At 47.9% G+C, this 20,290-nt stretch overlaps 1 protein-coding gene and 1 long non-coding RNA gene across 6 annotated transcripts, besides 12 other annotated features; one reads left to right on the top strand and one right to left on the bottom strand.

The window, feature by feature from the left end:
- Nucleotides 1–1,901: 1,901 nt before the first annotated feature.
- LOC105377730 (uncharacterized) lies at nt 1,902–12,025 on the bottom strand. 5 transcript variants are annotated; one of them, NR_188285.1, is made up of 3 exons: nt 11,749–12,025; nt 6,326–6,744; nt 1,902–2,164 (listed from the first exon to the last, which is right to left on the bottom strand). It is a non-coding gene; the product is annotated as an uncharacterized LOC105377730 (long non-coding RNA). The 5 variants fall into 5 exon arrangements; NR_188287.1 differs by lacking the exon at nt 11,749–12,025 and adding an exon at nt 7,686–7,744; NR_188283.1 differs by lacking the exon at nt 1,902–2,164 and having other exon boundaries at nt 5,265–6,744.
- Nucleotides 6,421–6,870: an enhancer, noted in NCBI's record as "active region_23645". NCBI's record gives its function as "activates an Ori minimal core promoter by ATAC-STARR-seq in GM12878 lymphoblastoid cells {active_cell/tissue: GM12878}" and the evidence as "EXISTENCE:reporter gene assay evidence [ECO:0000049][PMID:35858748]".
- Nucleotides 10,230–12,566: an enhancer, noted in NCBI's record as "VISTA enhancer hs1828". NCBI's record gives its function as "enhancer in: neural tube[5/11] | hindbrain (rhombencephalon)[5/11]" and the evidence as "EXISTENCE:transgenic organism evidence [ECO:0001131][PMID:17130149]".
- Nucleotides 10,230–13,554: a biological region, named in NCBI's record as "VISTA enhancer hs1828".
- Nucleotides 11,271–12,030: an enhancer, noted in NCBI's record as "H3K27ac-H3K4me1 hESC enhancer chr5:172199209-172199968 (GRCh37/hg19 assembly coordinates)". NCBI's record gives its function as "activates a minimal SCP1, AML or CMV promoter by ChIP-STARR-seq in naive H9 embryonic stem cells {active_cell/tissue: H9 hESC(naive)}" and the evidence as "EXISTENCE:reporter gene assay evidence [ECO:0000049][PMID:30033119]".
- Nucleotides 11,764–11,993: an enhancer, noted in NCBI's record as "active region_23644". NCBI's record gives its function as "activates an Ori minimal core promoter by ATAC-STARR-seq in GM12878 lymphoblastoid cells {active_cell/tissue: GM12878}" and the evidence as "EXISTENCE:reporter gene assay evidence [ECO:0000049][PMID:35858748]".
- Nucleotides 12,031–12,792: an enhancer, noted in NCBI's record as "H3K27ac-H3K4me1 hESC enhancer chr5:172198447-172199208 (GRCh37/hg19 assembly coordinates)". NCBI's record gives its function as "activates a minimal SCP1, AML or CMV promoter by ChIP-STARR-seq in naive H9 embryonic stem cells {active_cell/tissue: H9 hESC(naive)}" and the evidence as "EXISTENCE:reporter gene assay evidence [ECO:0000049][PMID:30033119]".
- Nucleotides 12,594–13,043: a silencer, noted in NCBI's record as "silent region_16626". NCBI's record gives its function as "represses an Ori minimal core promoter by ATAC-STARR-seq in GM12878 lymphoblastoid cells {active_cell/tissue: GM12878}" and the evidence as "EXISTENCE:reporter gene assay evidence [ECO:0000049][PMID:35858748]".
- Nucleotides 12,793–13,554: an enhancer, noted in NCBI's record as "H3K27ac hESC enhancer chr5:172197685-172198446 (GRCh37/hg19 assembly coordinates)". NCBI's record gives its function as "activates a minimal SCP1, AML or CMV promoter by ChIP-STARR-seq in naive H9 embryonic stem cells {active_cell/tissue: H9 hESC(naive)}" and the evidence as "EXISTENCE:reporter gene assay evidence [ECO:0000049][PMID:30033119]".
- On the top strand, nt 13,041–16,140 carry DUSP1 (dual specificity phosphatase 1). The gene is made up of 4 exons (NM_004417.4): nt 13,041–13,650; nt 13,930–14,075; nt 14,442–14,661; nt 15,104–16,140. Exons 1-4 carry the CDS (start codon nt 13,284–13,286, stop codon nt 15,472–15,474), a joined length of 1,104 nt encoding a protein of 367 aa, NP_004408.1. The 5' UTR covers nt 13,041–13,283; the 3' UTR covers nt 15,475–16,140.
- Nucleotides 13,214–13,483: an enhancer, noted in NCBI's record as "active region_23643". NCBI's record gives its function as "activates an Ori minimal core promoter by ATAC-STARR-seq in GM12878 lymphoblastoid cells {active_cell/tissue: GM12878}" and the evidence as "EXISTENCE:reporter gene assay evidence [ECO:0000049][PMID:35858748]".
- Nucleotides 13,584–13,693: a silencer, noted in NCBI's record as "silent region_16625". NCBI's record gives its function as "represses an Ori minimal core promoter by ATAC-STARR-seq in GM12878 lymphoblastoid cells {active_cell/tissue: GM12878}" and the evidence as "EXISTENCE:reporter gene assay evidence [ECO:0000049][PMID:35858748]".
- Nucleotides 16,107–16,299: a silencer, noted in NCBI's record as "fragment chr5:172194940-172195132 (GRCh37/hg19 assembly coordinates)". NCBI's record gives its function as "represses an EF-1alpha promoter that drives an FKBP-Casp9 reporter gene in an ReSE screen in HepG2 liver carcinoma cells {active_cell/tissue: HepG2}" and the evidence as "EXISTENCE:reporter gene assay evidence [ECO:0000049][PMID:32094911]".
- Nucleotides 18,603–18,822: an enhancer, noted in NCBI's record as "active region_23642". NCBI's record gives its function as "activates an Ori minimal core promoter by ATAC-STARR-seq in GM12878 lymphoblastoid cells {active_cell/tissue: GM12878}" and the evidence as "EXISTENCE:reporter gene assay evidence [ECO:0000049][PMID:35858748]".

The raw sequence follows: 20,290 nt of genomic DNA, 5'->3' as shown, positions 1-20,290 counted from the left end.
TAACTAGGCCAAAAACCAACAACAGAAGGAATACCAAAAGAGGTCACCCAAGCATTAAGAGATACTCCCCATAGTGAAGTAAAACTAGCATCCTTTCTTGCAGCCAAAACACTTTATGCCAAATACTGAATTGTGTGTAGACATACTAATACGAAGCATTTGTTTTTAAGTTTTTGGCATAATTTTGACCATAATTATTTTGACTATTTTTTTTATTAATACCCAGTATTGAGATATTTTAAAAAGTAAGTTGAATTTATTTTAGATTAAGCTCCATTAATATTGTAAATGTTCTCAAATAATAGCTATTAATGGGCAGAACAAATAAAATACTGGATTACCATAAAAAAAGAAACTCAAATCTTTTTTAAAAAATAGATCTATTGAGGTACAATTTAAATACTGTAAAATTCAACCTACTCAAGTATACAATTCAATGTTTTTTTGTAACTTTACCAAGTAGTGCAACCATCACTATAAATCAATTTTATAGCCAGGAGCAATTGCGTGTGCCTTTAATCCGAGCTACTTGGGAGGCTGAGGCTGGAGGATTGCTTGAGCCCAGGAGTTTAAGACTAGCCTGGGCAACAAAGCAAGACCCCATCTCTACAAAAAAAAAATTTAAAATTAGTCAGGCACAGTTGTTCATGCCTACAGTCCCAGCTACTCAGGAAGCTAAGGTGGGAGGATTGATTGTGCCTGGGAGGTTGAGGCTGCAGTGAGCCAGGATCACACCACCATACTCCAGCCTGGGCAACAGAGCAAGATCCCATCTCTTAAAAAATTAATTAAAGGGCCAGGTGCGTTGGCTCACGCCTGTAATCCCAGCAATCTGGGTGGCCAAGGCGGGCGGATCATGAGGTCAGGAGTTCAATACCAGCCTGGCCAACATAGTGAAACCCTGTTTCTACTAAAAATACAAAAAATTAGCTGGGCGTGGTGGTGGGCACCTGTAATCCCAGCTACTCGGGAGGCTGAGGCAGGAGAATCCCTTGAACCCGGGAGGTGGAAGTCGGAGTGAGCCGAGATCCCGCCATTGTACTTCAGCCCAGGTGACAGCATGAGATTCCATCTCAAAGAACAACAAAAACAACAAAAATTAATTAAAGATCAATTCTAGAACATTCTCATGGTTCCCAGGAATATTCCTCCCTGATGCCCACTTACAGATAATCATGTTCCCACCTCAGACCCAGCCATTAATCTGTTTACTGTTTCTCTAAATTTGCCTTTCCGGACATTTCATATAAATGGAATCATACAATACGCAGTTCCTTGTGCCTAGCTTCTTGAACTTTCCCACCTTTGAGGTTCATCCATACGGCAGCGTGCGTCAGCAGTTTGCTCCTTTCTGTTGGTGAATAGTGTTCCAGTGCATGGATAGAGCACATTTTGCCTATTCATTCATCAGTGGATGGATATTTAGGTTGTTTCCAGTGTTTGGCTATTATGGATTATGCTGTATGAACAGTGACTCACAAGTCTTTGTTTGTATAGTACCTGTTTTCATTTCTCTTGGGTAGATACCTAGGGAGTGGAATTGCTGGGTCATATGGTAATTGTATGTTTAACTTTTTGAGGAACCTCCAAACTGTTTTCCAAAGAGGCTGCACCACTTTATATTCCCACCTGCAATGTATGAGGGTTCTTGTCTTAGTTTGTTTTCTGCTGCTATAACAGAATACCACAGACTGGGTAATTTATAAAGGTCCCACTACTTAATACTGCAAATGGCAATTAAATTTCAACATGGGTTTTAGAGGGGACATTAAAACCATAGCAGTTCTGTTTCTCCACATCCTAGCCAACTTCTGTTATTATCTGTCTTTGATTAGTCATTCTAGTGTGTGTGAAGTAGTACCTCATGGTGATTTTAATCTGTATTTCCCTAATGACTAATGTTGTGGAGCATCTGTGCATATTTTATTAGCTATTGGTATATCTCCTTTGGAGAAACAGCTGTTCATATATTTTGCTTCTTTTCTTTTTTAATCCTCACTGCTAGACCACCAGGGATTTTGCTCCTTTGTCGTCGTTGTTGTTATTAAGTTTAGAAGTTCTTTGCAAATACTGGATACAAGTCCGTTATCAGATTTGGTTTTGCAAATATTTTCTCCTGGTCTGCTGCTTCTCTTTTCGTTTTCTTAGTGGTGGCTTTCTTCAGCTTTATTGAGGTATAATTGACAAATAAAATTATATAAATATAAGGTGTACTCGATCCTAACCCTAACCTTAACCCTTATTCATCCTCAATAACTGAAAGTTTGTACCCTTTGACCAACATCTCCCCATTTCCCCTACCTCCCAGTGCTTTGCAACCACCATTCTATTCTTTGATTTTATGAGTTCGACTTTTAAGATTCCACATGTAAGTGAGATCCCGTTCTGTGTCTGGCTTATTTCACTCAGCATAATGCCCTCTGAGCTCAACAGCATTGCACGTGAACACCCTTATGCCCATCATATAGACACAACAATTGTTAATGTTTTGCCACGATTAATTGATTTATGTGTGCATATTTTTCCTCCCCAAACCATTTGAGACCAAGTTGCCAACATCATGACCCTTCTCTGCTAAATACTTCAGCATGCATCTCTTAAGAACAAGATATTCTTCTAGGCACCCACCAAAGTGGAATTAACAATTCCATAATATTACCTAATATCCAGTCCATAGTCAGGTTTCCCTTGTCCCAGAGGGTGCTGTCAAGTTTTTGGATTTTGGCTAATCTGATGATGGATGAGAAACAGTCTCTTAAGTAATTTTCTTGTCTCTTATTATGATTAACAGTGGAAATCTAGGCCAGGTGTGGTGGCTCACGCCTGTAATCCCAGCACTTTGGGAGGCTGAGGCAGGCAGATCACCTGAGGTCAGGAGTTCAAGACCAGCATGGCCAACATGGTGAAACCCTGTCTCTACTAAAATTACAAAATTAGCCATGTGTGGTGGCGGGTGCCTATAGTCCCAGCTACTGGGGAGGCTGAGACAGGAGAATAGCTTGAACCCAGGAGACGGAGGTTGCAGTGAGCTGAGATCATGCCATTGCACTCCAGCCTGGGTGACAGAGCGAGACTCTGTCTCAAAAAGGAAAAAAAAAAAAAAGAATGGGCATTTAACATGTTCAGAAGGACTGTAGTTCTTTTTCTGTAAACTATCTGCTCACAGTTTTTGTCTATTTTAAAATCATATTTTTGGCTTTTTCATCCTTTGTTTTTAAGAACTCCTTTAAGATAGGTGGAATTGGCCTTCATCTGTAAATTACAATTTTTTTTCCCATTTGCCTTTATTTTTTATTTTTGTTTATTTATTTTTTTTGAGACAGAGTCTCACTCTGTCGCCCAGGTTGGAGTGCAGTGGTGTGATCTCGGCTCACTGCAAGCTCCACCTCCTGGGTTCACACCACTCTCCTGCCTCAGCCTCCTGACTAGCTGGGACTACAGGCCCCCCGTCCCCACACCCAGCTAATTTTTTTGTGTGTGTGTATTTTTAGTAGAGATGGGGTTTCACCGTGTTAGCCAGGATGGTCTTGATCTCCTGATCTCATGATCCGCCTGCCTTGGCCTCCCAAAGTGCTGGGATCACAGGCATGAGCCACCACGCCCAGCCCCATTTGCCTTTTTTTAAATAAAATTTAATTTTGCTTATGGAGCTTTAGGCATAAAAAGCTTTCTAAAAATTTGGCTTTAATTTTTATATAGTTGAATTTATCAAAATTTTCTTTCATTGTTTGTGGCTTTTGAGTCCTAAATAGATAAAAAATTTTCTTACTCCTGGGTTATAAATACATTTCCCTCTGTTTTCTTTTAAAAGTTGTAAACTGGCCGGTGTGGTGGCTCACACCTATAATCCCAACACTTTGGGACGCCAAGGCGGATGGATCACTTGAGGTCAGGAGTTTGAGACCAGCCTGACCAACAATGGTGAAACCCCATTTCTACTAAAAATAGAAAAATTAGCCAGGCATGGTGGTGGGTGCCTGCAGTCTCAGCTACTCAGGAGGCTGAGGCAGGAGACTTTTGAACCTGGTAGGCGGAGGCTACAATGAGCAGAGATTGCTCCCCGGCACTCCAGCCTGGGTGACAGAGTGAGACTCTGTATCAAAAAAAAAAAAAAAAAAAAAAAGAGTTGTAAACTTTCCTTGGCTGGTTCAAAGGTAGAGAGTTATCTCAATGATTTGTTGACTGTCAGTTACTGATCAAACTCCTTGTTCTACCCTTTCCCCTCTTCTCACTACTGTAGTTGACTAGTCTTAAAAAATGAAAAAATAATAAAAAAGAAGTTGTAAGGTTTCATTTTTTAAAATCTGGATCTCTGGACCATTCGGTGTTTATTCTGATGTTTGGTGTGAGGTATGGATCCACTTTTATCTTTTTTCCAAATGCAATGCCATGGTTCCAGCATGCTTATTAAGAAGTCTTATGTTCCAGTGATCTGAGACGCCACCTTGGCCATGCACCAAATCTTCATGTGTACTTGGATACATTTCTGGACTTTCTATTGTGTTCCATTGGTCTGTCTCGCTATTTGTTTCCAGGTACACCATTTTTATTACAGAGGCTTTAAAACATTAAAAAAAAAAAATTTAGAGGCCGGGTGCGGTGGCTGACGCCTGTAACAGTCCCAGGAATTTGGGAGGCTGAGGCGGCTGGATCATGAGGTCAGGAGTTCAAGACCAGCCTGGCGAAGATGATGAAACCCCGTCTCTACTAAAAACTACAAAAATTAGCTGGGCGCAGTGGCAGGCACCTATAATCCCAGCTACTTGGGAGGCCGAGGGAGGAGAATTGCTTGAACATGGGCGGCAGAGGTTGCGGTGAGATGAAATCGCACCATGGCACTCCAGCCTGGGCGACAGAGTGAGACTCTGTCTCAAAAAAAAAAAAATATTTAGAGACATGATCTCACTCCATCCCCCAGGCTGGAGTGCAGTGGTGTGATCATGGCTCAATGCAGCCTCAGATTCCTTGGCTTAAGCAAGCCTTCCACCTCAACTTCTGGAATAGCTGAGATTACGAGTGCACACCACCACACTTAGCTAACTTTTAATTTTTTATTTTTGTAGAGATGGAGTCTCGCTATGTTGCTCAGGCTGGTCTGAAACTCCTGGGCTCAAGCAATCCTCCCATCACAGCCTCTCAAAGTGCTGGGGTTACAGGCATGAGCCACTGTGCCCTGCCAATTACAGAAGCTTTATGATGTGTTTTAATGTCTGGTAGGGCTTACCTCCACCCCATTGCCCTTTTTTAAAAAAAACAATTCTGGCTATTTTTGCTTGTTTATTATTTCATATCAACTCCAGAATCAACTTGTTTAACTCCAGAAAAAAACACCTACCCTCAATATTTTGGTGACGATCATGTTAAACGAATATATTTACCTGGGCCAGTTGGACCTGCTTGTGGTATCGAGTCACCCTATCCAAGAACAAGGGGTGTTTTTTTCTCATGTTTAGAACTCACACCTTCACTGCACACAGAAGGAGGCTCTCTTTGGGGCACAGGCCCTCCGGAGGGTTGAAGTGTGCCCCCAAAAAACATATGTTCAAGTCCTAATCCCCAGCACCTTGATCTCAGACTTCCAGCCTCCAGAACCATGAGATGACACATTTTTATTTAAGCCGCTCAGTCTGTGGCGCTTTGTTACGGAAGCCCTAGCAAACTAATTCAGGCCCCCGGAGGATCTCCTAGGGAAGAATCGAGCAGCCCAGCTACAGCTTGAGGATATCCAGAAACACCTGTGTGCTCTCCTGTCCCTGATCCTGGGCAGGCTCACACAGGCCTGTTTCTTGCCTGCCATGAAGCTAGGTGAGTGGATCAATAAATGCATCGCAGTGCTGGAGGTGTGACTTCACTCTCAATGGGTGGCCAAACCCACTGAGGTCAAGGCCAGTGAATGAATCATTTGTCCAATGCAGCTCAGTGAGTCAGGCAGGGCCAGGCTGAAAGCCTGAGTTTGGGGCATATTTCCTTTCTCTTTCCTTTGGAATCTAGAAGCAGTCCCCTATAAATTATTATTCCAAGAAACAAACAGCGAAATTGTGCAGCATGCTGCCTTCATACTACGCCTGCTATGTGCTGTGGAGCGATAAGAACAAAAATCTTAGAAAGCGGAGAGTCACAGCCCTTACTGTGTGTCTTTGGACAAGTCAGTTCACCTCTCTGGTCCTCAGTTCCCTCATTTCTTCACATGGAGATAGTAAGGGTACGCATTTCACAGGGTTAATGTCATGATCATACCAGGAAATGAATATAAAGCGCCTAGCAAAATACTGTGTCTCAGTAGAGATTGGCAATTACTAATAAGAACTGCCCCCACATTACTTACAAAGGCAAAATTGGGATGAACAATTTCTGCATCTTCAGCTATGATTCTGAACATAGTGCCAATAATTTTTCCTCCTCCTTTTCCCAGAGATGAGTTTGGAACAGACAAACTGTGATCTCATTTGCTTCCACCAACATTGGTTACTAAGTGTTAGGTTCTGATTATGAAAATGAAAGTATGTCTCAATTCATATTCTGCTTGAAAAAAAAAAGAGTCAACAGAAAGCTGTCACTTCTCACCGCAGCATCAGTTCCCCCTGTGGCGGGGTGTGGCTTGGGGCCATTGTTGGCAGGCTGCGTCCTTGGTTCAGGGATGAAGCTTGTGTGAGTCACGGAGGCCCTGCTGTTCCCGGTCCCTCTCCTGGGCTCTTGGGCTCATCTTCATTTATTTGTCCAACAAGCCTTGCTTTGAGATCTGTACTGGGGACCAAGAGAGACAAGAAATCATGCCCTAGCTTCCAAGCTAGTGGGAGAGATATAAATGATTATTGATAAGCCGGTCGCAGTGGCTCACGCCTGTAATCCCAGCACTTTGGGAGGCCAGGGCAGGTAGATCATGAGGTCAGGAGCTTGAGACCGGCCTGACCAACATGGTGAAACCCTGTCTCTACTAAAAATACAAAAATTAGCCAGGCGTGGTGGCAGGTGCCTGTAATCCCAGCTACTCAGGAGGCTAAGGTAGCAGAATCGCTTGAACCCTGGAGGCGGAGGTTGCAGTGAGCTGAGATCGCGCCACTGTACTCCAGCCTGGGCGATAGAGCGAGACTCCAAATGAAAAAAAAAAAAAAAAAAAAGAAAAGAAAATGAATCACAAAGTGGTCTTTAGGGGTTATTACTATTCTTATTTTATGGGGAGGTGAGGCTTCCGGGGGAAAGTGGTAAGTAACTGAGGCCCACCTCTCAAAGGCATTTCCTCCAGGTATTTCTATCCTACATCAGCCTTTACATCTCCAAGTAGACGTCCCCTCCTCTGGGCATCTTTCCTGGGCTACCCAGTTTCTATCCTGGCACTTAACAAGTCTGTCCCACTACTAGAACGGATGTTAACTGAATGACTGTAGCACTTTAATTCTTCTCCATCTTAAACCTTTTATACTTTACTGCATCTACTGGCTCTAAGATGTCATCAGTTCTGAGGCCCTTTCATTAATCTGTGCACCATTAAGAAAGGAAAATGCTGTCAATTAATGATGACATGCCTCCAATTGTTACACTCTGAGAAATGCTAAAATATGAAAACTGTGCCTTCAACACAATGAATTATATGATGAAAGCAATTACTGCTTTTAAAAACATCGGAAGGGAAGAAGATTTTATAAATATCTATATAATAATAATAACAAAGTTTTCTAAACACTTACTCTGTGTCAGGCATTGTTCTACAGTACTTTTCATCCATGAGCTCCTATCAGGGGTTGGCAAACTTTTCCTGTAAAGGGACTTGGGTAAATATTTGAGGCTTTGTGAGCCATACTGTCTCTGTCACAATATACGCCTCCCATTGTAGTGTGACAGCAGCCACAGATACCATGTAAAGGAACGGGTGTGGCTGTGTTCCAATAAAACTTTATTTATGGACACTGAAGTTTGAATTTTATATGACATTCACATGTCATAAAATGAGATTCTTCTTTTGATTTTTTTCCCCCAACCATTTAAAATATAAAAACCAGTCTTAGTTTGTGGTTTGTACAGAAGGAGGGAGCGAGCTAGGTTTGGTTCACAGGCTCTAGTGTGCCAATCACTGTCTTATATAACCTTCCTATCAGCCCTACAAGATCGATATGATTATTATTCCCGCTTTAAAGATGAGAAAACTGAGTCTCACAGAGGTAAAGTAACTTGCCCAAATACACACAGCTGGTGAGTAAGCAAGCTGGGATTCTAATCCAGGCAGTCTAACTCTGTAACTTGGTTTTAACAACAATGCTGTTACCTACATATGATTGCCTTCTAATCTTCTTTTATTCTTCGTTACAAAAGTTACACATTTAAGTTTAAAAAGTTCAAATCATTCAGAGTCATAAGGAAGAAAATGAGAGGAACTCCACCTTCCAAAGATAAACACTGTTAAGGGTTTGGACACACAGCTCACACAATGCTGACTACGGTTAGAATGTTCTGAACACTGTGTGACTTTGGACAGATTGCCTAACCTCTCTGGGCTCTTGCCTCTCAAATGAGGAGGTTAGACAGGATGACACAGCTCTGTGGGCCCTGCCAGGTCTGAGCATGGAGATCTGTTTGTAAAGATTGTGCAATGGCAGCTAGCTCTGTCCCAACTGCCTGGGTGTAGAGGGTGAAGTCAGCCCCTTGCCAGTCCCTCAAGGTAGGCCTGAGTGGCTACAGAGTCTCTTCAGCAGCGGCACTAGGGCCTGAGTTGGGAGTCTTAGAAGGCTCCAGGCTCCCTGCTGGGCTGACACCAGGGACCACTCCGTCCAGCGAGAAGAACTCCAGGAAGCTGGGAGGCAGAGGCTTCAGCCAGTGCTGCCAGACATGGGGCTGGCAGACGCGGAGGCCTCAACAGACCCAGGCCCAGCTCCCTCTCTCAAGTCAGACAGGCGCTGGGTTTGGATCTGTGTCTGATGATTACCAGCTTTATAACCTTAGGCATGTGACCTTTGGTATGTCTCCTCTCTGAGCCTCTTGCCTTGCCTATAAAATGGGGACAACAAGCACCTCACAGGATCACTGATAGATTCATGGAATGATACCTGTAATGCACCTGGCCCAGAGGTGAGGCCTAATGAGTGTCAGTGACCACCCTCCTCTCTTCTGACACTTTTCAACAGTACCCTTTGAAACAATTCTACCGTTTCCCAAATTGTGAACCTACTATGTGCCAGGCACTGCATCAAAGGTAGTAGGCTGGGGAGTGCAATGTTGAGAAAAACACACCCCTTGCCCTCAAGCTGACCAACTTAGAACCTGGGGAGAGTACGACAAAGATCTAGGTGACTTGTACACAATCAGAATATACGGACAATGTCCTCCAGACGCAGGAGAGGGAGAAGTTGGAGAAACCAGAGGAGTCTTCACCTGGAAAGACTATGGGGGAGCCCAGAGGGGCCACTGTCTGGCAGGGGGAGGGGGAGGAATGTGAGCAAAGATGTGGGAGAGGACAAGAACATTCTAGGAACACAGGCCCACAGAATTTTCCTGGAGCACAAGAGAGAAAGCAAAGAGAGTGGGAAGCTGAGCCATATAGATGGCCGAGGCCCAGTGGCAGTGAGTTTTGGATTTGCTAAGAAATGGGGAGTTATAGAAGGCTATTGAGGGGAGGAACCCCCATACAGCACAGGGGAGACAGGAAAAACGCCGTGGTTTTTGAAAGAGGGAACATGAATGTGGGGCCCTGCTCCCTCTCTTGAGAGCACCCTCTTTGGGTGTCATCCACATCAGGTTCTTATACACTGTTTTACTTGGTCCTAAATGGATGTTATTCCCAGTTTACAAATGGGGAAACAGAGGCTCAGAAACGGTAAGCTGCTTGCCCAAGGTCACCAAGCAGACAGTGAGCGGGGGCCTCTTTCTGACTGTCATCAGCGGGAGCTCAACTCTTTTCTTTTCCTGTGATCCCAAGAGAGATCCAAAGTCGCCTTTGAGAGCAGGATTAGGACAGGGATTGTGAGCTAGGGCCAACCCTGGCTACACTGAGTCTCCCCAGAGTCCCTGGAGGTGAATGTTATTATTCTTCTCTCCATCATGGGAAGGAGGGGGTGGAGCTCAGCACCATGGGGGCACTTACTCAAGGCCACACATTAAAGGTAGAAAATCCAGGCCAGCTTTTTGGGGAGTGTGGAACCCTGAACCCTTCTTTCCGCTACTCCTCACTGTCTCCAGGTTTATTCCTAAGCAGGACTAGGTAGAATTGGGAACAGCCCAGGTCAGAAAGGCCCAATTCTCTCCCCTGAGTCAACATCCACTGATTTATCTGCTTCACTCCCTCTGGCAGCCAGGCCCACAAGGCCAGTCCCTCACTCCTTCTGTGGTTACAGAGACCAGATTATGCTGGGCTCTCTTTGGCTCCATCCTCAGTCAGAAGCAGCATCTCCACTGCCTGGATTGGGGGCCTAGGTGGCTACACGTTTACCACTTGTCGCCGGGCAGGTGACCCACTGGCCCGAGCACTGTGTGTTAGTGGGCCTTAAAGAGGAGCTCTGCCTGAGTTGGGCCCCTGTCCACTGATGTATCTCATAAGCAGATGGCTTGCAGTGACCTTCTCCCTGGTTCTGAGGCAAGTCTCTGAAAGGCACAGGGGCATGATGATATATAAAGAACCATTCTGCTGGGAAGGGGAAACCCTAGAGATACAGTGAATCATAAAGAGCAGGGGTGAGGTAGGGCCTGAGTTCCCTAAACCCCCCATCTCTCACTTGGGCCTCAAACCATCTACAAAGTGGGCCAGTGTAGACGCACTGTACAGACGTGGGTTTGGAGGCTCAGTAGGGGTCGAGACTCACCTCTGACCATCCAGCAGCAAAATGACAGGGTTCAAGTCTACTCTCTGCACTCTTTCCAGCAAGGGAGGAGAGAGAAAAGCAGGAGAGGCCAGCAGACACCTGGCTCTAGGGCCAGACTGCGCCACTACTACTATGATAACGGCATTAAAAAGTTTTCTTTTCTTTTTTTTTTTTGAGACAGAGTCTTGCTCTGTCACCAGGCTGGAGTGCAGTGGTGTGATCTTGGCTCACTGCAACCTCTGCCTCCCGGGTTCAGCCTCAGGCTCTCGAGTAACTGGGATTACAGGCGCCCACCACCACACCCAACTAATTTTTGTATTTTTAGTAGAGACAGGGTTTCACCATGTTGGCCAGGATGGTCTCGATCTCCTGACCTCATGATCCGCCCCCCCACGGCCTCCCGAAGTGCTGGGATTACAGGTGTGAGCCACAGCGCCCAGCTCTTAAAAAGTTTTCTTTTTGAAAAATTTCGGTAGGGGAAGGTATAATAAATGCTCTTGGTGAGAAAAAAAATGGGACAAATCAAGTCGGTATGCAGTGAAAAGTCAGCAGCTGTAACATTCTATGATTCAACGCAAAAACTATGTTGAGTTCCTCAGCTGAATAAGTAGTATAAACAATTTCTTTTTCTTCTATCTCTCCATACAGGGAGGGCGTTGCCCTTATCTGAGGACCTCTTTGCTGTCCTCGACCAATGTTCAAATGAAGGTAGAAGACGCCCTTTTAAAAAAAAAAGCACTCCATGCCCTGAACTTTTCTAGAAGAATCCAGGCAGAACATTTGCGCAGGCGAAAACACACAAGCTAAGCGAGGCAAATGCAGAAGTTGCCACTGGTGATACAGCTCGCACAGCGACGACACAGGGTGGCCAGCGAAATCCCCTCCCCCAGGAGGGGAGGAAACCGCAGAATGTTCCTGACTCGGCACCCGGGCGGGTGGCGCAATGTTTATGTTTGTGTACCCAGCGCGTCGCGTCGCTGCAGCAGGCTCCGCTGTCCAGGGGGCCGTCACTGGGACTCAGGGCACGGAGATCGCTGGGCGGGGCGGGGGTCTTCCCAAGTGTTGCGATCCAGGTCCTGGCAATCCGCCCACAATGGCCCGGGATTGGATTTTGCTTTCGGCCTATAACGGCCGCGACGACAGGGAGCGAGGGTTGTGGCCGGCTTCTGTTCCGGGTTGGAGGCCCCCAGCCCAGCGCTTAGTGGGCGCTCACTGTGTATACTGCCTATTTGTATAATAAAGAAAGGGATGGAGAAGCTCAGTCTGGAGCCAAGGTGACAGAAACGTGTCGGGCGGCCCCTGGGGGGCGCCGTCGAGTCGCGCTGCGGGTCGCCCCTCACCCCTCCAAACGCCAAACCCTGGAATCCACTGCGGGGCCTTGCGACCCCTCACCGGGATTTCAGCCCCCTGACCTGCCTCCCTTGGCTCCAAGTCTTCCGGGGGCCACAAGACTAGGAATAGCATTATTTCCCGGTGGGAGTTTGCTTGCTCACACTTTCATGGCAAATGTAGATATTTTAAAGCCACCTTAAAGAAAAGTCTGGGAAACAGGAAAGCATTGCCCTGAACCTCTCCGCCCCAACTCGCTCGAGTCGGTCTTGGTAGGGACGACTTTTCTATCGGCAGAGTTGTTCATTTTTCTCTAAACTTCATCTTAGGCGCCTATTTGCTGCCCCCACCCCAGTAGTGTGGTTCTGGGCAAGTCAGTCGCTTCGCCTGGGGAACCTCAGTTTCCCCGCCTGTTAGTGATGAGGAAATGAGGAAAAGGGGCACAAGAGTATGCAAAAGCACAGGAAGCCCCTTTCGGTTCAGGTCGGCGGCCGAGGGGCACGGGGAAGGGGACTCGGGGAGGGAGAGAGGGAGGAGCGGCGAGGCCAAGGCAGGTGGCACGTCGCCCGTTCTCCCGGCCGCTCGCATCCCGGAGGTCAGCCTCAGCTGGCAGCGAGCCCTCCTCCTCCCCGCTGGGCCTGGAGCGCGGCGCGGGTCCGGTCCCTGGGGACGCGCCAAGAGCAGGCCGGACAGCAGGGCGGGGGCCGGGCCGCGAGCCAGCGCGCGGCGAGCGGACCCAGCTCCGAGGCTGATGACGTCTCCCCCTCTGGCTCGGCGGCGCCTGGCCTGGCAGGGCGGGTGACGTCACCGCCCCGTCACGTGATCACCATTCAAACAAACACCCCCCCTCCCCCTGCGCGCGGGTCTGGCCCGCCCCGTCCCCCAGAGGCCGCATATAAACGCGCTCCCCGGGCCAGGCTCGCTGCGAAGGACATTTGGGCTGTGTGTGCGACGCGGGTCGGAGGGGCAGTCGGGGGAACCGCGAAGAAGCCGAGGAGCCCGGAGCCCCGCGTGACGCTCCTCTCTCAGTCCAAAAGCGGCTTTTGGTTCGGCGCAGAGAGACCCGGGGGTCTAGCTTTTCCTCGAAAAGCGCCGCCCTGCCCTTGGCCCCGAGAACAGACAAAGAGCACCGCAGGGCCGATCACGCTGGGGGCGCTGAGGCCGGCCATGGTCATGGAAGTGGGCACCCTGGACGCTGGAGGCCTGCGGGCGCTGCTGGGGGAGCGAGCGGCGCAATGCCTGCTGCTGGACTGCCGCTCCTTCTTCGCTTTCAACGCCGGCCACATCGCCGGCTCTGTCAACGTGCGCTTCAGCACCATCGTGCGGCGCCGGGCCAAGGGCGCCATGGGCCTGGAGCACATCGTGCCCAACGCCGAGCTCCGCGGCCGCCTGCTGGCCGGCGCCTACCACGCCGTGGTGTTGCTGGACGAGCGCAGCGCCGCCCTGGACGGCGCCAAGCGCGACGGCACCCTGGCCCTGGCGGCCGGCGCGCTCTGCCGCGAGGCGCGCGCCGCGCAAGTCTTCTTCCTCAAAGGTACGCCCTCGGGGAAGCTCGGGGCGGGCCGCACACCCCTGAGGTTTTGCCCGGTACCCCTGGCTCTCGGCTCCCGGGGGATCGCCCCACCTGCAGCGCGTGGGCGCTGGAGTACATTTATCTCTGGAACTTGTCATTGGCTTTGTTTGGCTCTGGAAACAAAGACTTGCCTGGGCCTTTCCGATGTAAACTTCCAGCCCTTGGTGGGTGGGGGAGTTGTATGAAGGTGCCGTGTCCCGGTGTCACTAATGGGGAAAAAAAATGTCTTTGTATTCCCAGGAGGATACGAAGCGTTTTCGGCTTCCTGCCCGGAGCTGTGCAGCAAACAGTCGACCCCCATGGGGCTCAGCCTTCCCCTGAGTACTAGCGTCCCTGACAGCGCGGAATCTGGGTGCAGTTCCTGCAGTACCCCACTCTACGATCAGGTTAGTAGGTGTCCCTGCCACAGGGAAGAAGTAAGAACTGGCAAAGGCATGGAAGAGTAGTGCCAGGGAGAATATAGAAAGTGACCTGCAGCATTATTTATAACGGAGGGGACACAGGGATATGATTTATTCCACAGTTAAGTGGTCTGACGGAGCCGAGTCTCCAATTGTAGGCTCTACGGAAATGAACTTGCTGGTCCTGCCCAGGCAAATGGGCTTAGTTCCCTATTTATTTATCCTCCAGCAACAGAACTGAGTTCACTCGGTATCTGAAATTGACTTTTCCAGCAGAAAGTTTTTGTGGGTATGGGCACTGGCCTTGGCTTTGAGCAAGCTTGATGAATGTTGGATATTTCTGGATTTCAGGGTGGCCCGGTGGAAATCCTGCCCTTTCTGTACCTGGGCAGTGCGTATCACGCTTCCCGCAAGGACATGCTGGATGCCTTGGGCATCACTGCCTTGATCAACGTCTCAGCCAATTGTCCCAACCATTTTGAGGGTCACTACCAGTACAAGAGCATCCCTGTGGAGGACAACCACAAGGCAGACATCAGCTCCTGGTTCAACGAGGCCATTGACTTCATAGGTAAATGGAATGGATGCCTGGGGCTTTTCTGCCTTTCTCTTCTCATTTTAGCCACTAAGCCCAACCTCTGTGGCAAGAGCTTGAAGTTTTCTGAGCCTTCTTCCACACATTCAGTATCAGTCTGGTGTGGGCAACATTCCTGTAAAATATGAATTTGATTCGATGTCCCACTTTACAGATTTGCAAAGTGGGGCTCACAAAGTTGAATTGACTGGTCTGAGATCTATCTGCTAAGTGGAAATCCCCAGTCTGAGTTTAAATCCTGTGCCATCCTTTGCACAGTGCCCACGTTGCCTCCATGAACAGTATCCATGTGATGGCATGTGGTGATGTTGACCATTTCTAGACAAGACACACATGACCTTTCTCAGATACACTGTACCTGGGCTTGGGGTGGTTCTCCTGAACTCTCAAGTAACCAGCCGCTCCTTTGGTTTTCCAGACTCCATCAAGAATGCTGGAGGAAGGGTGTTTGTCCACTGCCAGGCAGGCATTTCCCGGTCAGCCACCATCTGCCTTGCTTACCTTATGAGGACTAATCGAGTCAAGCTGGACGAGGCCTTTGAGTTTGTGAAGCAGAGGCGAAGCATCATCTCTCCCAACTTCAGCTTCATGGGCCAGCTGCTGCAGTTTGAGTCCCAGGTGCTGGCTCCGCACTGTTCGGCAGAGGCTGGGAGCCCCGCCATGGCTGTGCTCGACCGAGGCACCTCCACCACCACCGTGTTCAACTTCCCCGTCTCCATCCCTGTCCACTCCACGAACAGTGCGCTGAGCTACCTTCAGAGCCCCATTACGACCTCTCCCAGCTGCTGAAAGGCCACGGGAGGTGAGGCTCTTCACATCCCATTGGGACTCCATGCTCCTTGAGAGGAGAAATGCAATAACTCTGGGAGGGGCTCGAGAGGGCTGGTCCTTATTTATTTAACTTCACCCGAGTTCCTCTGGGTTTCTAAGCAGTTATGGTGATGACTTAGCGTCAAGACATTTGCTGAACTCAGCACATTCGGGACCAATATATAGTGGGTACATCAAGTCCATCTGACAAAATGGGGCAGAAGAGAAAGGACTCAGTGTGTGATCCGGTTTCTTTTTGCTCGCCCCTGTTTTTTGTAGAATCTCTTCATGCTTGACATACCTACCAGTATTATTCCCGACGACACATATACATATGAGAATATACCTTATTTATTTTTGTGTAGGTGTCTGCCTTCACAAATGTCATTGTCTACTCCTAGAAGAACCAAATACCTCAATTTTTGTTTTTGAGTACTGTACTATCCTGTAAATATATCTTAAGCAGGTTTGTTTTCAGCACTGATGGAAAATACCAGTGTTGGGTTTTTTTTTAGTTGCCAACAGTTGTATGTTTGCTGATTATTTATGACCTGAAATAATATATTTCTTCTTCTAAGAAGACATTTTGTTACATAAGGATGACTTTTTTATACAATGGAATAAATTATGGCATTTCTATTGAAATTTCAACGCTTTTATTTCTTTGGCAACCACACCCAATCCCTCTCCCACTAGTGAACTAGGGAAGAATTTCGACAAGGGCCTGCAGAATGTGTTGAGATCTGATCCCATGCCCTGTGGTGGCCCGTTGGTCCCATGAAATGGCTGGGTTGCAAGGGAGGAAGACAAGTGAGTATCATGAAACACCGGACGCTACAGCTGAACTCTTAGTATTGGATCAGTGTGTCTGCCCATGCCCATTTTAGCGGCTCTGTAACCTACCATGTCACCCAGGATGCCAAGGTGTCCCCAGAGCCAAAGCTAGGAGGAAATAGCCACTTGTCTGGATTGCCTTCTTCATTTAATACCCTCCTCAGGTTAATATAAAAAGTCGCCTTCCCATCTCTGAGCTGTGCTGGAGTTATGAGGAGACAAAAGTTTTTCCAAACACATGACATAAGGCAGGTGTGTGCTACCTGCCCCTAGAGAAACTCAGCAAGGCCTTTTGCAAATGAGATGCTGAGACCCAGCATGGCTAAGTGGCAGAAATAGGAGAATTGGAATCTACATCTGTTTCAGACTTTCACTTGCCCGTCTCATGGCTTTTTTTTTTTTTTTTTTTTAGACGGAGTCTCACTCTGTCACCCAGGCTGGAGTGTACTGGTGTGAGCTCGGCTCACTGCAACCTCCGCCTGCCAGGTTCAAGCCATTCTCCTGCCTCAGCTTCCTAAGTAGCTGGGATTACGGGTGCGCGTCACCATGCCCGGCTAATTTTTGTATTTTTAGTAGAGATGGGGGTTTCACCATGTTGGCCAGGCTGGTCTCGAACTCCTGACCTATCTTTTTGCTTTTAAAAAGGCTTTTGTTTTTGTGAAAATTTAAATACATTGGCAAAAAAAAAAAAAAAGAAAGAAAAAAAATCCAAGCACTATAAGCAAATACCATGTAAAGAAATCACCCGCAACAGCCCATCCCCAACCTGACCATTGCTAACATTGTGGAGGACATTCACGCTGGCATTTCTGCATATAGACATGGCATTTTTGGTAGTTGCCTCCTTCATGTCACCTGCTGCTCTGATTTCATAGTTTTGTTGAGATAAGCAATTAAACCTGACTTGTTCTAGGATAATATTCTGAATTTGTACTCCTTTGCCAAGCAGGCAAAAAACAGAAGAGATGTAATTGCTACCAATCCATAATCCAGTCTATAATGTTGCGTTAAGAAACAGCGAAGCTCTTGGATTACTGGCCCCTTAGCGCCCCACCCCACTCTTTGTTTCTGGACAAAGTGCTATGGGAAGCAGAAAAGGAAATATCCCATTCGCCTTATCCATGAGCACCCTGTGCTATGGTTCTGGTCCTGTCCTGTTGTTCAAGGTCTTTACGCAGAATCAGTGTCCTTGACTTTGCCCCTGTGGCTCACTGTCTGCCACTTGACTCCCAGGGTCTGAAAGATCCCTGTGTTCTAAGTTCTAAGAACTTACCCTGGGCTGGCAAGCTCATTTCCTCAGCTGGGTTTCCGATTACAAGTATGTTCATGCCTATCAAAACAAATCGTACCCAGTGTTTTTATCAAAGCCTAGAAATTTACTATTGTAAATATCTCTCTCCGTGGAAATGTACCAGCGACATCGAGTCTGTGACAGATGCCATGGCTGACTTCCCCGTGGGCTAGGGCCTTCGCTTTCTGCTTGGCAGGCACTGGCTGAACCAAAATTAATCTCCAGTGTGATCCACGCAGTGGAAAAATACAGCGGCTGCCTAAGGGAGCCGCCAGTGAAAACAAGTCACTCACTTCTCCCGGCTCAAGCCACTCTGCCTCATGCCAGCCCTGAGAGCCAGGAATGATGACCCCTGATCCCCATGTACCGGAGTCACTGTGTTCAGACCCTCCAGAAAAATCTCATATTTGGCCTCAGACTGCTTTCCTTGGGAAAAAATTAATACCTCGTGATGAAAGATACTTAAAGTCTATTAATGTGTTTCCCAGGAAGAGATTGAAATAAGACTTTTAATACTGATAATGTGGCAATGATGGTTGCCAGTTTTAGAGTGAGCACTGTGTGCCAGGTACTGCTAAGGTTAAGTAACCTTTGACAGCAATACCCATTTTACAGAGGACAAAACTGAGGCTCACTTGTGAGAAAGACATGGGCTGATGAATGTAAAGTGCCTGGCACACAGTGGGCCGTGGAGAAATGTTTCCATCCCCTTGTCTCTGTCCTAATGGCTTCTGGCAGTTCTTCTGGCTCAGTTTTCCCACCCCGTAAAATGACCAATTTGCACTGGATCTGAGTACTGTTCTTCCCATCTCTCTAATTCTGGGATGTAGAAAATGCATCAATGCATACATTATGCTTTTCTGTGGTTTCCAGGCACCCATTATTTCATTATAATACCTCTAACACTCCCCCTCCCCCACCTCCACCGCATCCTCTCCTTGGAATTTTGCAAATCGTAGCTAATTTGCTTTGGACTTGCAGCCTCTGGCGTCCCTTTCCCTCCCTCCCCTGGCCCGTCAGAGGATGACATCATTGTGTGTACACCTTTAAGATTATATAAATCTGTGATCCTACAGTGGCCTCCATCCCCATGGTAACGCGGAGGAGTTTCCCTTTTGTGAGGAAAGCTGTCATGTCACTTCCTGCTGCTGACAAATCAGTTTAGGAGATTAAAATAAAGGGGGGCGGGGTGCCTCTGAGAAGTGCTGGCTGCCGTGGTTTCTGGTTGCCATACACAGAGGCAAACAATGCCGCTGCGGCCCCTCCCCGCGCCCGCCGGGTGGATCCAGGTCAACCCGGGCTGTTTTTCTCTGCAGGTTGCTTTCTGGAGAGCAGGTGGGAGGGCTGCTCACCTCGTTTCCAGAGCTCTGCGGGGTGAGCCTGTTTGAGAACAGCCTGTAGGTGCAGACCAGCAGCCCTGCTCCCCTCTGCCCACCGAGGAGGTGTCTTCCACCCCGTGGAGAACAAAGGGTGTGCTCTCTGCTAGCGCCACAGTGGACAAAACTGCTCTGCCAAGGAAGATAAGCTCATAGCCACCTTTTCCTTGAATGTGGCTTTTAAAGCTAGGCAGGAGGCCCACGCATTCATTCACTCATTCGTTCATTCATTCATTCATTCATGTGTTCAACAAATATTGATAAGTATAGTCTCAGGGGATACTTTGGTGCAAGACAAAATTCCTACTTATAAGTAGCTAAAATTACTTTTGCTATTTTCGCTAAACAGCAAAAGTAATTTTACTTTGTCACTTGCCGTCTCATGGCACTATATATGGGTGGGTTATAGAAATAAGATAATCACAAAATAAGATAAGGATGAAGGCTATGAAGGCAGGATAAACTAAGACCTGAATGATATAACCCAGTTGCCCATTTGAGAGGTGAACTGGAAAGAGGGCTCCAAGGCCAGGAGAGCAGCAAAGACCTGATGTTTGAGAGGTATGTTTGTGGACCAGTGGATACAGCGTGTGAATTGGAGTTGGCTAGACCTGCGTTCAAGTCCTGACTCTGCCACCTGTTAGTGGTGTGTAAGCTATCAAACTCTTTTTTTTTTTTTTTTTTGAGATGGACGCTTGCTCTGCCGCTAGGCTGGAGTGCAGTGGCGCAATCTCAGCTCACTGCAACCTCCGACTCCCTGGTTCAAGCGATTCTCCTGACTCAGCCTCCTGAGTAGCTGGGATTACAGGCACGCACCACCACGCCCAGCTAATTTTTGTATTTTTAGTAGAGACAGGGTTTCACCAGGTTGGCCAGGATGGTCTCGATCTCCTGACCTTGTGATCCACCCGCCTGGGCCTCCTAAAGTACTAGGATTACAGGCATGAGCCACGGCGCCCGGCCTGCTATCAAACTCTTTAACCTCTGTTTTCCCAATCTGTAATACGGCCCAGTAATATTCTCTTGTGACTCAGCTGCTCCCTATTCTGTCCCTCAAGCATGAGCGCCCCTCCGGAGTGGCTCTGGAGCGCTCCGGAGGGGCGCTCGTGCTTGAGCGCCCACAAAAGTGGGCTGCCTCACCAAAGTGACACCCTGGGCGCGCATCAGACAACGCTTTACTCTAGGCCATCAGAGCTTTGGAGCAGTGGCCTCTGTTCTAAGCCCATCTAGCCCTGCTCCACTAACCTGGGGCAAGCTGCTTCCCCTTTCGGGGCCTCGTACCCTCATGTGTAAG

This window comes from Homo sapiens, chromosome 5, assembly GCF_000001405.40.
Source record: "Homo sapiens chromosome 5, GRCh38.p14 Primary Assembly".
Classification (NCBI taxonomy): Eukaryota; Metazoa; Chordata; class Mammalia; order Primates; family Hominidae; genus Homo; species Homo sapiens.
Note: the sequence above shows the minus strand (reverse complement) of the source record. Positions and strands in the feature narration are given on the sequence as shown.